At 44.6% G+C, this 13286-nt stretch overlaps 1 pseudogene across 5 annotated transcripts in view; it reads right to left on the reverse strand.

The window, feature by feature from the left end:
- The window catches only part of PPIEL (peptidylprolyl isomerase E like (pseudogene)), a 37419-nt pseudogene that overhangs the window by 18270 nt on the left and 5863 nt on the right, over positions 1–13286 (reverse strand). For all 5 annotated transcript variants that reach the window (NR_003929.2, NR_144355.1, NR_144354.1 and 2 more), the window contains 4 exons: positions 12569–12595; positions 7030–8402; positions 5184–5308; positions 1171–1292 (listed from right to left, as the gene is read on the reverse strand). The product of NR_003929.2 is annotated as a peptidylprolyl isomerase E like (pseudogene), transcript variant 1 (transcript). The remainder of the gene's footprint in view (positions 1–1170; positions 1293–5183; positions 5309–7029; positions 8403–12568; positions 12596–13286) is intronic.

Below are 13286 nucleotides of genomic sequence, written 5' to 3' on the forward strand. Positions count from 1 at the left end.
TGGCTGCAGGAAGACTAAATAGTTCTCTTCTGATTGTTTCTATAAATAAGCGACACCATCAGCTGAGAGGGAGAGTGTATGAAGCAATGCTGGAGGGCTGAGGAGTGAAGAAAAGGCGTGTTTTCCAGTCAGACGATGGATGACAAGTACCTCCAGCAATCTGGGAGGACCACTGGGCATTGCTCAAGGTGCCCTTAAGACCTGAGCTCCTCAACTCAAGAGGGACCAGATAGCTCAGGGCTGTGCTTTTCTCTAGCACACAGAGTTCTGCACTACGTAAGAAGGAGCACGAGAGAGGCAGCGGGATCCTTGGCAAGAGGAAGGAGAGTGCATGCAGCGACGGCGCGTGAGATGTGAGTGAGGCAACAGGGCAGTGTGGTGTGGGTGGATGGGCAGCGCATCTATGAGTCTAGGACACGTGCCAACCATGAAAAGCCCCAAAAGGATGACGTGCTGTCACATGAGGAAATCTGAATATGCACTGCAGTTGAGAGAATAGTATTGTAGCAGTGTTTGTTTTCTGATTTTGAGAACTATGTCCTGGTAACATTAAAAATACCCTGTTTCTTATGAAATACATGCTGAAGTATTTAGTGGTAGAGGAACATGAACTCTCCAACTTACTTTCAAATGGCTCTAAAAAAATACGCACTGTCTATAAAAATACACAGAAGGAGAATAAATAGGAAATGATGTTCACCAATATAAACAACTGGTGAACTTGAGTAAATGCCAGCAAAGGTGTATGGGGTTCATCGCACTATTCTTGTAACTCTTCCGTGAGCTTGACATTACATAAAATAAAAAGTTACAAAAACAATAACAAGACACCCCTGTAGGAGCAGACCCAGGCGTCTATGCTTCTTCCTCTTTTAATGAAAGGAGACAAATGGGAACTGAAATAACCCAAAATAAAAAACAGAAAAGCTTTTCAAAGCCCAAAGCTAACTCCACCCTAGCAAGGCTGAACGGTTCTCCTGTGTCTGGTAGCTGGGTCTCCTCCAGATTCCCTGTTTCTCAGCCAGAACCACGGCTCATCCTTCCACCCTGCACGGCCAGCTGCCCTCGCCCAGCCTCCCTTGTCACCACACGATGAGTGGTTCCTACCTGGTCCTGTGTGTTTGAAGATAAAGTTTTCATCATCAAATTTCTTCTTGTAGATGGACTTACCCCTGGTGCCACCGTGGTTTGTGAAATCACTGCCCTGGCAAATGAACTGGGGGATAATGCGGTGGAAGCTGCTTCCCTTGAAGCCGAGTCCTTTAAATGGGTGCACATGTAGAGAAAATTCTCTGGGATTGAGAAAGAGAAAAGTGCTGAGGTAAGAATATCTAACTAGATAATTAAAACTCCAGCTCTCTGTAACATGCCATCTCTACAAAAATAAAAATAATCATTTGGGTCCCAGCCACGGTGGCTCATGCCTGTAATCCCAGCACTTTGGGAGGCCAAGGTGGGTGGATCACCTGAGGTCAGGAGTTCGAGACCAGCCTGGCCAACATGGCAAAACCCCATCTCTACTAAAAATACAGAAACTAGCTAGGCATGGTGGCACACTCCTAGGTGACAAAGTGAGACCCTGTCTCTGAAATAAAATACACACACACCCCCAAACTCCAGCTCTCCAAATCTAAAAAAGTACATAGTACCTTTATTTAAACTAAATGCTTAAGTGTGGAAGTGGCACACAAATAGATAGAACAGACTAGGTGAAAAGAAGAGAAAGTCCCGAATAGACCCAGAAACGTATGAAAATTCAGTATTTCAGCTAGGCATGGTGGCTCACATCTGTAATCTCAGTACTTGGGGAGGCCAAGGCAGGAGGATTGCCTGAGCAGAGGAGTTGGAGACCAGCCTGGGCAACACGGCAAGACCTCATCTCTATTAAAATATATACATAGGCCAGGTGCGGTGGCTCGGGTCTGTAATCCCAGCACTTTGGGAGGCCGAGGTGGGTGGATCACCTGAGGTCAGGAGTTCAAGACCAGCCTGACCAATGTGGTAAAACCCTATCTCTAATAAAAATACAGAAAATTAGCTCGGCATGGTGGCATGTGCCTGTAATCCCAGCTACTCGGGAGGCTGAAGCAGGAGAATCACTTGAACCCGGGAGGCAAAGGTTGCAGTAAGCTGAGATCATGCCATTTTACTCCAGCCTGGGCAACAAGAGTGAAATTCCGTCTCAAAAAAAAAAAAAATATATATATATATACACACACACACACACACACATATACAAAAATGTATATATATGTGTATGTATGTATATGTGTGTGTATATATGCATATATATGTGTGTGTGTGTGTGTGTGCGTGTGTATATATATATATATATATAAAGGAATTAAATATTTCATAAAGCTTGGCATCTTAAATCACTGGGTCAAAGATGGACTTTCTATAAACTGGTCTTAGGACAACTGAATAAACATTTGGACTCCCCCACCCAATTATGCTAGGCAGCGATGACCTGAGAAGGTATATAATGACCAGGAGCTCAAATCCCCACAGACAAAGGTCTAGGTCACCCCACCTGATAAGCCATTTAGATTAGCAGAGGAACCAGCTGAGGTGAGGATGAGAGGTATCTAAAATGGATAGCAGAGGAGGGAGGCCAGGCGCCGTGGCTCACACCTGTAATCTCAGCGCTTTGGGAGGCAGAGGTGGGTGGATCACCTGAGGTCAGGAGTTCAAGACCAGCCTGGCCAACATGGTGAAGCCCTGTCTCTACTAAAAATATAAAAACCAGCTGGGCATGGTGGTGGGCGCCTGTAATCCCAGCTACTCGGGAGGCTGAAGCAGGAGAATCACTTGAACCCGGGAGGCGGAGGTTGCAGTGAGCCAAGATCATGCCATTGTACTCCAGTCTGGGATTACTAATAGTAATATGAGTATATTTTTCAGAGACATAGCAATAAAAGCCCAAATAATTAAAATAGTTAAAAGAAATGAATGTTGCCTCTGGCAGGGCAGAAAAATTATGTTGGGGGAGCAGAAGAATGTTTTATTATAGAACGATTTTCTTTAAACTATGTGCAATTATGACTTTAAGAAACATTTTTAAAAGCTAGATTAAGACAAAAAAGATTATGGGTAAAAAAAGGTCATCATGAATACTTAAGAAAAAAAGGAAAACACAACTGTCAATTGTAGCTACCTCTGGGAGATGGGCTGAATAGTAAGGAGAGAAAGTTTTAGTTTCTGATTGATACCCTTAAAAATAGTACTTTTCTGGCTGGGTGCGGCCGCTCATGTCTGTAATCCCAGCATTTTGGGAGGCCGAGGTAAGAGGATCACTTGAGTCCAGTTCAAGACCAGACTGGACAACATGGCAAAACCCACCATCTCTACAAAAAAAAATACAAAAGGGCTGGGTGCGGTGGCTCATGCCTGTAATCCCAGCACTTTGGGAGGCCGAGACGGGCAGATCACAAGGTCAGGAGATCGAGACCATCCTGGCTAACATGGTGAAACCCCGTCTCTATTAAAAATACAAAAAAATTAGCTGGGCGTGGTGGTGGGCACCTGTAGTCTCAGCTAATTGGGAGGCTGAGGCAGGAGAATGGCGTAAACCTGGGAGGCGGAGCTTGCAGTGAGCCAAGATTGCGCCCCTGCACTCCAGCCTGGGCAACAGAGCAAGACTCCGTCTCAAAAAAAAAAAAAAAAAAATTAGCTGGGAAACATAGTGAAACCTCCATCTGTACAAAAAACAATAAAAAATTGGCTGGGCATGGTGGTGCATGCCTGTGGTCCCAGCTACTTGGGAAGCTGAGCTGGGAGGATCACTTGAGCCTGGAAGGTTGAAGCTGCAGTAAGCCGTGATCACATCACCGCACTCCAGCCTGGGCAACAGAACTAGATCCTGTCTCAAAGAAAAAAAAAATAGCATTTTTTCCAGTGAAGACACTTGGCAAATAACTCCTTAACCAAGTCAACAAAATTAACATTGCAAATATCTGAAATAACATCATGTACTTCCTCAAACGATGCACTAACACACTGCTTCTGTGCTATTGATGCCAAAACACATAACCTCAATCTAATCATGAGGAAGTACTAGGCAAATACAAACTGAGGAGCACCCTTAAACACAACTGGCCTATTCTCTTCAAAGATGTCAAGATCAAAAAAGACAATGAAAAATTAAGAAACGGTTTCAAATAAAAGGAGACTAAAGAGACTTGACAACTAAATCAACATGGGAATCCTTGTCAGGGAAGAAAAATTGCTAAAAATTACTAAAAAGGACAATATTGGGACAAGTGATAAAATTTGAATATAGCTCATCACTCAATGTTACATTTTATAATTTTGATAGTTGTACTCTGATTAGGCAAGGGAATATTCTGGTTCTTAGGAAATATATACTGAAGTATTTGGCAGTAAAGGTGCATGGTCTTCAACTTCTCGACTGGAACAGGGGAAAAATACATATACGCATCTGTGTGTAATGTATGTAAAGAAAATGATAAAGCATACAGGGCAAAAAAAGGAAATTAATGAGTAGGTAAAGGATATATGAGAGTTCCCCTAACTGCTTTTTTTCTTTTTTCTTTTTCTTTTTTTTTAAGACAAGGCCTTGCTCTATTGCCCAGACTGGAGTGTGGTGGTGCAATTATGGCTCACTGCAGCCTCAACCTCCTGGGCTCAAGCAATCCTCTTGTCTCAGCCTCCCAAATAGCTGGAACTATAGGCACATCGCACTATACCCGTCTAACTTTGTATTTTTTGTAGAGATGGAGTCTTTTGCTGTGTTGCCCAGGCTGATCTCAAACTGCTGGACTCAAGTGATCCTCCCACCATGGCCTCCCAAAGTGCTGAGATTACAGGTGTGAACCACTGCACCTGGCCCCTTGAAATATTCTTACAGAATTCTTATTCTATATATCTGTAAGTTTGAAAATATATCCAAATAAAATTACAAAAAAAAAAAAACCCAACAATAAAACCAAACCAGAGGATAATTAAAACTGTTTAGAACTTTTAGTTGCCTACCCTTTCTAATGGCTCTAAGCCTTTATAGAGCTTCAAAAATGCCTGCTGTGCCTCATTTGTTACTAGATGCTGGGATCTGAGACGCCTCAGATGGAAATAGTGTTAAGGGCCCAGGACCCCAGGTAGCTTCCTCCCCATCTTGTTCAGCCACCAGTGTCCCACCGTCCTGACCATGGTGTCCCGCTCACCTGTGGTCATGGGCACGACGTCGGAACGCAGGAGGGTTTGGATGCAGCCAGCCGGCTTGTTCCCAATCTTGATGTCCATGTACACCTGAGGATTTGACTAGGCCTTTTTTAGCAGTGGGCTCTCCCTAGGTGCAGAAGAAATTGCTAGAGAGCTCCCTGATGCCCCAAGTAGGAGTGCGAGTATTCTACACACCCACCCAGAACACAACTCCAGTGAGTAGGCTGGAGCAAGTGCTGATGAGGAAGGCCTTGGGCCCTGACAGGGCTGCAGAAGGCAGGAGCCACGGCCGTAGCACCCAGCTGGATGCCCAGTGACGGGAGACCTCAGCACTGTCTAACCTGAGGCCCACACACAGGCATGTTATCTCATCAGACTCACCCTCAGAAGCATCAGTTTCCTTCTCCTGCCCCGCAGTCCCAGAACAGCGCTTTTCTTGCCCATGATCCACAACTCTCAACATCTTCAAATGCCAGCTCCAATCTACCCACTGTCTTCCAATTAAACGAAACCATCCATGTGCCACCCCCTCCTCCCTCTAGACTTGGCCCTGCACATATGCTGGCTGGCTACATGGAAGCAACCGGGCAGCCCTCTTGCTCAGGCCTGAGGGCAAGTTTTCAGAAGATAGTGGAGGATGCTGGGCCTTTTTGCTTTGTGCTCCAAGACAAGACTGGATAGAGGATAAATATAACATTCAATACAAACCTTCCCATTTGTGTGATAGAGAAAACTCTATTTTTTCATTTGCTTGTTTTTGGAAAGGGAGTCTTGCTCTGTCGCCCAGACTGGAGTGCAGTAGCGCGATCTCAACTCACTGCAACCTCCGCCTCCTGGGTTCAAGCAATTCTCCTGCCTCAGCCTCCTGAGTAGCTGGGATTAAAGGCACGTGCCACCATGCCCGGCTAACTTTTGTATTTTTAGTAGAGACAGGTTTCACCACGTTGGTCAGGCTGGTCTCGAACTCCTGACCTCGTGATCTGCCCGCCTTGGCCTGACAAAATGCTGGGATTACAGGCGTGAGCCACCACGTCCGGCCAACTCTATTGTTTTTTTGGATTAATAGTTCAACATACAGGTATTGAGCTATCAGGCCAAGTACTGGGATTCTTAAATAGATATAGTTGGGTGGGGTGTCTCACACTGTAATCCCAGCACTTTGGGAGGCCAAGGCAAGAGGACTGCTTGAGCCCAGGAGTTCTGAGATCAATCTGGGCAACACAGTGCGACCCTGTCTCTACAAAATAAAAAATGAAAAATGTAGCTGGTTATGGTGGTGTGCCTGTAGTTCCAGCTACTTGGGAGGCTGGGGCAGGAAGACCACTTGAGCCTGGAAGGTCAAAGCTGCAGTGAGCTGTGATGGTACCACTGCACTCCAGCCTGGGCAACAGAGCAAGACCCTGAATCAAAAAATAAAAAATAAATAGATAGGCAGTTAGATAGATATGGCCCCTGCCCTTGAGGAACTGGCTAGCCAGCGGGGGAGGGATACCCACAGTGTAAAAGGCACACAGATCCTGGAGCTCTACAGCCTTAGTTCAGACCTCAGCTCCACCATTATGAACTGTGTAACGCTGAACAAAGTACTGACTTCACTGTGCCCCAGCTTCCTCACCTAGAACTGGGGATAATAATAGTACTTATCTCAAATAATTGTTATTAGGGTTAAATATTAGTAGAGCACTTAGAACAGTGCCTAGCATAGAGTAAGCAATATTTAGACATGTGTTAAATAAGTAATTTCAATATAATGCAGTCACATTTCTATATAATCACATTTCAATATAATGCCAGGACAGAGGGTGCCACAGGAACCCAGAGGCCATGGGAGCCCAGAGTGATACTTGCCTTACTCACTGGAGGATTCAGAAAAGCTTCCTGGAGAAGGCAGTAAATGGGCTGCGCTATGAGAAATGAGCAGGCATTAGCCACATAAAATAAATTGGAAAAGGACACTGCAGGCAGAGGAATGACTTACATCAAAACAGAGATTTACAGGTATCTACAAACTCTTGTTTCCTAGAATATAAAATGGAGATAAAATATGGAGACATAAGCAGGAATCAGAACATAGAGAGGTCTTCTGTCCCTTTTGATGGAGGCTGGACTCAATCCTATAAATCAAGGGAGTCCCTAGAATGCTTAAGGAGAGTGAGATAGTCAGATCTGCCCTTTAGAAAGCTCCCTCTGGCTGCTAAGGATAGGAGGAAAACAGGCCTGGGGCAGGGAGACCAGTTAGGAAGCTACTCCAATTATTCACAGGAGAGAGGATAAGGCCTCAGCCAAGACAACAGTGGCAGAAGAAAACTGGAGAGGAGAAACGCAAGATTTAAAAGATAAAATTAGCAGGGTATGGTAATGCATTAGGTATGAAATACAGTGAGGGATCTAAGCTGGCACCAAGGAATCTGGTTTGGGTGTGACTATGTTGAAGATGGCAAAGTGAACTAAGATTGGGCATAAAAAAAGACCAGAAAGGTGATGAAACCCATTTGGGATATGCTTTATTTATGGTGCCTATAAGACACCCAAACAGAAATATGTGAAAGGTCAGGGCTAGGGATAGAGATCAGAATATCATTCGGACAATGAAAGATCGTTATAACCTTAGGAGATAGAAGGGGCTGACATGGCATAAGGATAATGTGGAGAGAGGTGCTGAGGGCTAAGGAAGGAATTCAGGGAAATATCACTGCTCAAAGGGTGGACTGAGGAGGAGGAGCCCTTAAATTATCCTGGGAAGCAACAGTCAGGATGGCCTGATGGAGAAGCAGGAGCAAGTGGAGAGGGCAGGGAGAGCCTTGTGCCTGTGTACTGACTGAGGGGAAGGGACCTCTACATGATTCTGCCCCCTTGGAATTAGGGCAAGAACAGGAAGACAGTGAGCCTGCTGCCAAAGACTAGGAGGATAGCGGATGCTGGTGATGCAGAGTACTCACCATCCTTTCTCACCTCAGATATCCGCCTTGCTCAGCAGCAATCACAAATACCTGAGCCCACATAAGATATTTCTCACCTAGATAAGAAAGCCAAAACTTCTCCTTTAAATTCACCCAACACCACTCACCTCAGAAATTCCCTATGTGGAAAGCAGCAGCCTCTCCTATGGAAGCATGAACTGTCATTCTTACCTCCTGGCTTTCTGCTTTGGGAAGTCTCAACCACCTTCCTCTTTATCCTCTTCCCAGCAAACTTCTCCACCCAGTCTTCATCTGACCAAACTGAAAGGAAGGAATCAAACGAATGTTAAGAAATTCAAGCCATGAGCCAATAGCTAATTAGCTATGTCCAGTTCTTCACTGCTTTGGTCAGCGAAGTGGACTCAATATGTAGGGTTTCAGTCAGAAGTTCCCTCTTAGGAACTCTCCAAGACAAGAAAAGTTGTCACTGGTAAGTGTCAGGCCCTAAGTCCAGCTCTTAACAGAAGTGAATGAGAATAAGGAGGAGGAACTAAGTCAAGCCAAAAGGAATGTCCCAGCCTGTGCCAAGGCTGATATGGCATAGTCTACGTCTATGTCCAAAAGCTAGACTTTTGGACATAGACTGGGGCCGTACCTCCAGCTTTGCTAAGAATCTCAAAGTGGTTATTTCCATGGAGGTGCTACATTCTCTTCTGCACTATAAACCACTCTACTTGTGTTCATACCATCACTACAAGAGGAAGTAAGGCTGGGATAAAAATGCAGCCAAGGGCCAAGCGCAGTGGCTTATGCCTATAACCTCAACACTTTGGGAGGTCAAGGTGGGTGGGTCATTTGAGGCCAGTATTCGAGACCAGTCTGGCCAACATGGTGAAACCCCATCTCTACTAAAAATACAAAAATTAGCCAGGCATGGTGGCACATGCCTGTAATCCCAGCTACTTGGGAGGCTGAGGCATAAGACTTGCTTGAACCTGGAAGGCAGAGACTGCAGTGAGCTGTGATCACACCACTGCACTCCAGCCTGGGCGACAGAATGAGACTCTATCTCCAAAAAAAAAAAAAGCAGCCAAGGCCACAAGGCCAAAGTTGTGGAGTTGTGGACATGACAGGGAATCTGTGAGTTGCTCCCACTCACCTGGTCTGGAAAAGCCTTCCTTAACTCTCATTGGTTTGGCCAAATTGACAGAAATTGTCCACCCAAAGAGCTCAGATTCATTCTGAAAAGACTGAAATACAACTCAGCTGCTTAAACCTGTTGGGTTAAAAGAATACCTGACAGTCTTCCATTTACTTCCCAGGAGGCTGAGACCTGCTTGTGATTCCAAGCCTGGGAGCCTGCACCCCATAAGCAGGCTAAGCACAAAACTAACCACTAGAATGCCCTTGAGCCACCATGCACTTCCTTTCTTTAATACCAACAAACAGGAAGGTCTGTGCTGGCAAGATCTTTGGATTTGAGCTCAGGACTCTCTGAAACTATAAGGGTAAATGCAGTTACCAAGTACTTGAGTCCACCTTAGAAAGTCAAGATCAGCTTTCAACTGGAGAAAAATGGTATTGTTGACTGTTGAGGGGCATGTTTGATGAAGGCGTAACAAAGAACATGGAATGAAGTGTAGGAATATTTCATTAGCCAAGAACAACTGATACTTCGAGAGAAGTTTGTTTTGGGCCTTTTCATGAGAACTAAAAGTTATATGAAAAAAAGATTCCTTAATTTAGTAAGACTGAGGTTATAATTACAGGTATGTCCTTTGTTCTTAGAAAAAAGATGGATCAGGTACTAATTTTATTCCCAGTAATTAAAAAAAAAATGGAATGCTAGCATTAAATGACATCCTTGTTTCATATTTAGTCATGAATATCAATCACAAAAATAAAAAGCAGGGGGCAGGGGGCATTTAAGGGTTTTGTGGTAGGCAGAATGGCTCTCCAAAGATGTCCACAGCCTATTTCTCAGAACCTGTGACTATGTTATGTTATATGACAGGAAAGAATTAAGGTTGCAGATGTAAGGTTGCAGATGTAAGGTTGCTAGTTAACCTTAAAATAAAATTATTATCTGGGATTATTCAGATGGACCCAATGTAATCACAAGAGTCATCTAAATATGGAAAAGAGAAGTAGAGAGTTTCAAAGTGATGCAGTGTGAGAAAGATTTGAGACGCCATTGCTGGTTTTGAAGTGGAAGGGGCCAAGAGCCAAATAATGTGGGTAGCCTCTAGAAGCTGGGAAAGGCAAGGAAACAGATTCTCCTTGGAGCCCCCAGAAGCAACAGAGCCCTGGCAACACCTTGATTTTAGCCCAGTGAGACCCCTTTTGGGTTTCTGACCTCTAAAATTGTAAGATAAATTTGTGTTGTTTTAAGCCACTAAATTTGTAGTAATTTGTTACAGTGGCAATAAGAATTAAAATCATTTTCTTTTTTAAAAATTATTATTATTTGGCCAGGCACAGTGGCTCACACCTATAATCCCAGCACTTTGGGAGGCTGAGGCTGGCAGATCACCTGAGGTCAAGAGTTCGAGAGCAGCCTGGCCAACATGGCAAAAGCCCGTCTCTACTAAAAATACAAAAATTAGCCAGGTATGGTGGCATGCGCCTGTAATCCCAGCTACCCAGGAGGTTGAGGCAGGGGAATCACTGGAACCCAGGAGGCAGAGGCTGCAGCAAGCCGAGATTGTGCCACTGCACTCCAGCCTGGGCAACAAAGCAAGACTCTGTCTCAAAAAAAAAAAAAAAATTATTATTTTGTAGAAACAGGGCCTCACTATTGCCCAGGTTGGGTCTTGAACTCCTGGCTTCAAGTGATCCTCCTGCCTCCATCTCCCAAAGTGCTGGGATTATAAATGTGAGCCACCACACTCTGCCTCAAATCATTTTCTTTTGAAGCACTCAATTTGTCATAATCCTTGCAGATTTTCTCTTCTTCAGGTGTTAATTGGTTTAAGAGAGCCTAACTCTTCAATGGCTGTTTTTGACTACAGCTAATCACAGCAGTTCTCCATAATCACTTTCATATACTACATGAAACACTGCTCTTACATAAGATTCACAAATTGACCCTGCAGGCTGGGCGTGGTGGCTCATGCCTGTAATCCCGGCACTTTGGGAGGCTGAGGCGGGCAGACCACTTGAAATCAAGAGTTCAAGACCAGCCTGGCCAACATGGTGAAACCCTGTCTCTACTAAAAAGACAAAAATTAGCTGGGCATAGTGGTGTGCGCCTGTAATCCCAGCTACTTGGGTGGCTGAGGCAGGAAAATCACTTGAACCCAAAAGGCAGAGGCTGCAGTGAGCCAAGATTGCGCCAATGCACTCCAGCCTGGGCAACAGAGTGAGACTGTCAAAAATAAATAAATAAATAAATAAACAAACAAACAAACTTTGCAATCAGGTTACATTTTATTTGCAGTACACTGTCCTAGCCTAGGGATTAGCAAATTTTCTGAAAAAGGCTAGATAGTAAAATATTTTTGGTTTTGTAGGCCACATACAGCCTCTCCTGCATATTGGGTTTTTTTCCCCCACACCCTTTAAAAGATAGCAATTATTTAGCTCAAAGGATACAAAAAACAGACTGTGGCACTTTGGAAGCCTAAGGTGGTAGATCGCTTGAGCTCAGGAGTTCAAGACCAGCCTGGGCAACACAGCAAAACCCCGTCTCTACAAAAAAATACTAAAATTAGCTGGGCATGGTAGCACACACCTGTAGTCCCAGCTACTCGGGAGGCAGAGGTGAGAGGATTGCTTGAGCCCAGGAGGTGAAGGTTGTAGTGAGTCGAGATCGTGCATTCCACTCCAGCCTGGGTAATACAGCGAGACTGTATCTCAAAAAAAGACCAAAATCAGACTGTGGAATGATTTGGCCCACAGGCTGTAGTTTGCTGGCCCCTGCAAAATGGTCAAGAGATTGGCCAACAAACGTGGTTGGTATTTAACAAATGTGAAATGAGAAGGATGTCTGGTTAAGAATTAATTTTAGGATGGGTGTGGTGGCTCACACTTGTAATCCCAGCACTTTGGGAGGCCAAGGCAGGCGGGTCACTTGAGGTCAGGAGTTCAAGACCAGACTGGCCAACATGGTAAAACCCCGTCTCTACTAAAAATACAAAAATTAGCTGGGTGTGGTGGCGGGTGCCTGTAATCCCAGCTATTCAGGAGGCTGAGGTAGGAGTATCACGTGAACTGGGAAGGCAGAGGTTGCAGTGAGCTGAGATTGCATCACTGCGCTCCAGCCTGGGTAATAGAGCAGACTCAGTCTCAGAAAAAAAAAAAAAAAAAAAATTAATTTTATTGGTAGCTAGTTCATGGTGAATTATTTCAAATAACGATGACCTGTGCTTGCTACAGAACTTTGAAACTATGGAAATTGGAAACACAATAGGTACATGGGTGTTCCCTATACCAAAAAGTAGCACCAAATAACAGCTTCAGTAAAAAACAAAGATGCTCAGCCATACCATGTTGTTGACAGCTGCTGCAACATCCTGCCAAAAATAAACAAGGAAAAAGTTCATGCCCATAGTTCAACTCTTCTTACAGTGTTCAAATAAAAACTCAGTAGCACAAGCACACAAAAAAAGACACAATCTCCCCTCCTACTTGCCTAGACTGTGTTTTACTAAGAGTGTGTACTGCCTGTTAGAGCTGGTGGTATACAGATGGGTGCCCAGTTGATGGAGGGAGAGAATACACACAATAAAACAGGAATGAGCAATGCCAGGCCGGAGGGCTCAGGCCTCTCCAAGACCTGTCTTCTATACTCTGAATACAGGAGGGGAACTTTGAGCCGGGCCTGGTGGGCCATACTTCAACCAGAACTTCCTGTTTCTCTGCAAAAGCCACTACCAAGCCACTATAGTGGGATGAATAGTGTCGCCCAAAATTCATGTCTGCCTAAACCTCAGAATCGGACTTTATTTAGAAATAGGGTCTTTGGGGTGGTGGGCTGGGTGCAGTAGCTCACATGTAATCTCAGTGCTTTGGAGAACTGAGGTGGGAGGATGACTTGAGGCTAGGAGTTGAAGACGAGCCTGAGCAATATAGTGAGACCCCCATCTCTATAAAAATTTTAAAAATTAGGCAGACATGGTGATGTGCACCTATAGTCCTAGCTACTTGGGAGGCTGAGGTAGCAGGATCATTTGAGCCCAGGAGTTTGAGGCAGCAGTGAGCTGT

Source organism: Homo sapiens, chromosome 1 (assembly GCF_000001405.40).
Source record: "Homo sapiens chromosome 1, GRCh38.p14 Primary Assembly".
Taxonomy (NCBI): Eukaryota; Metazoa; Chordata; class Mammalia; order Primates; family Hominidae; genus Homo; species Homo sapiens.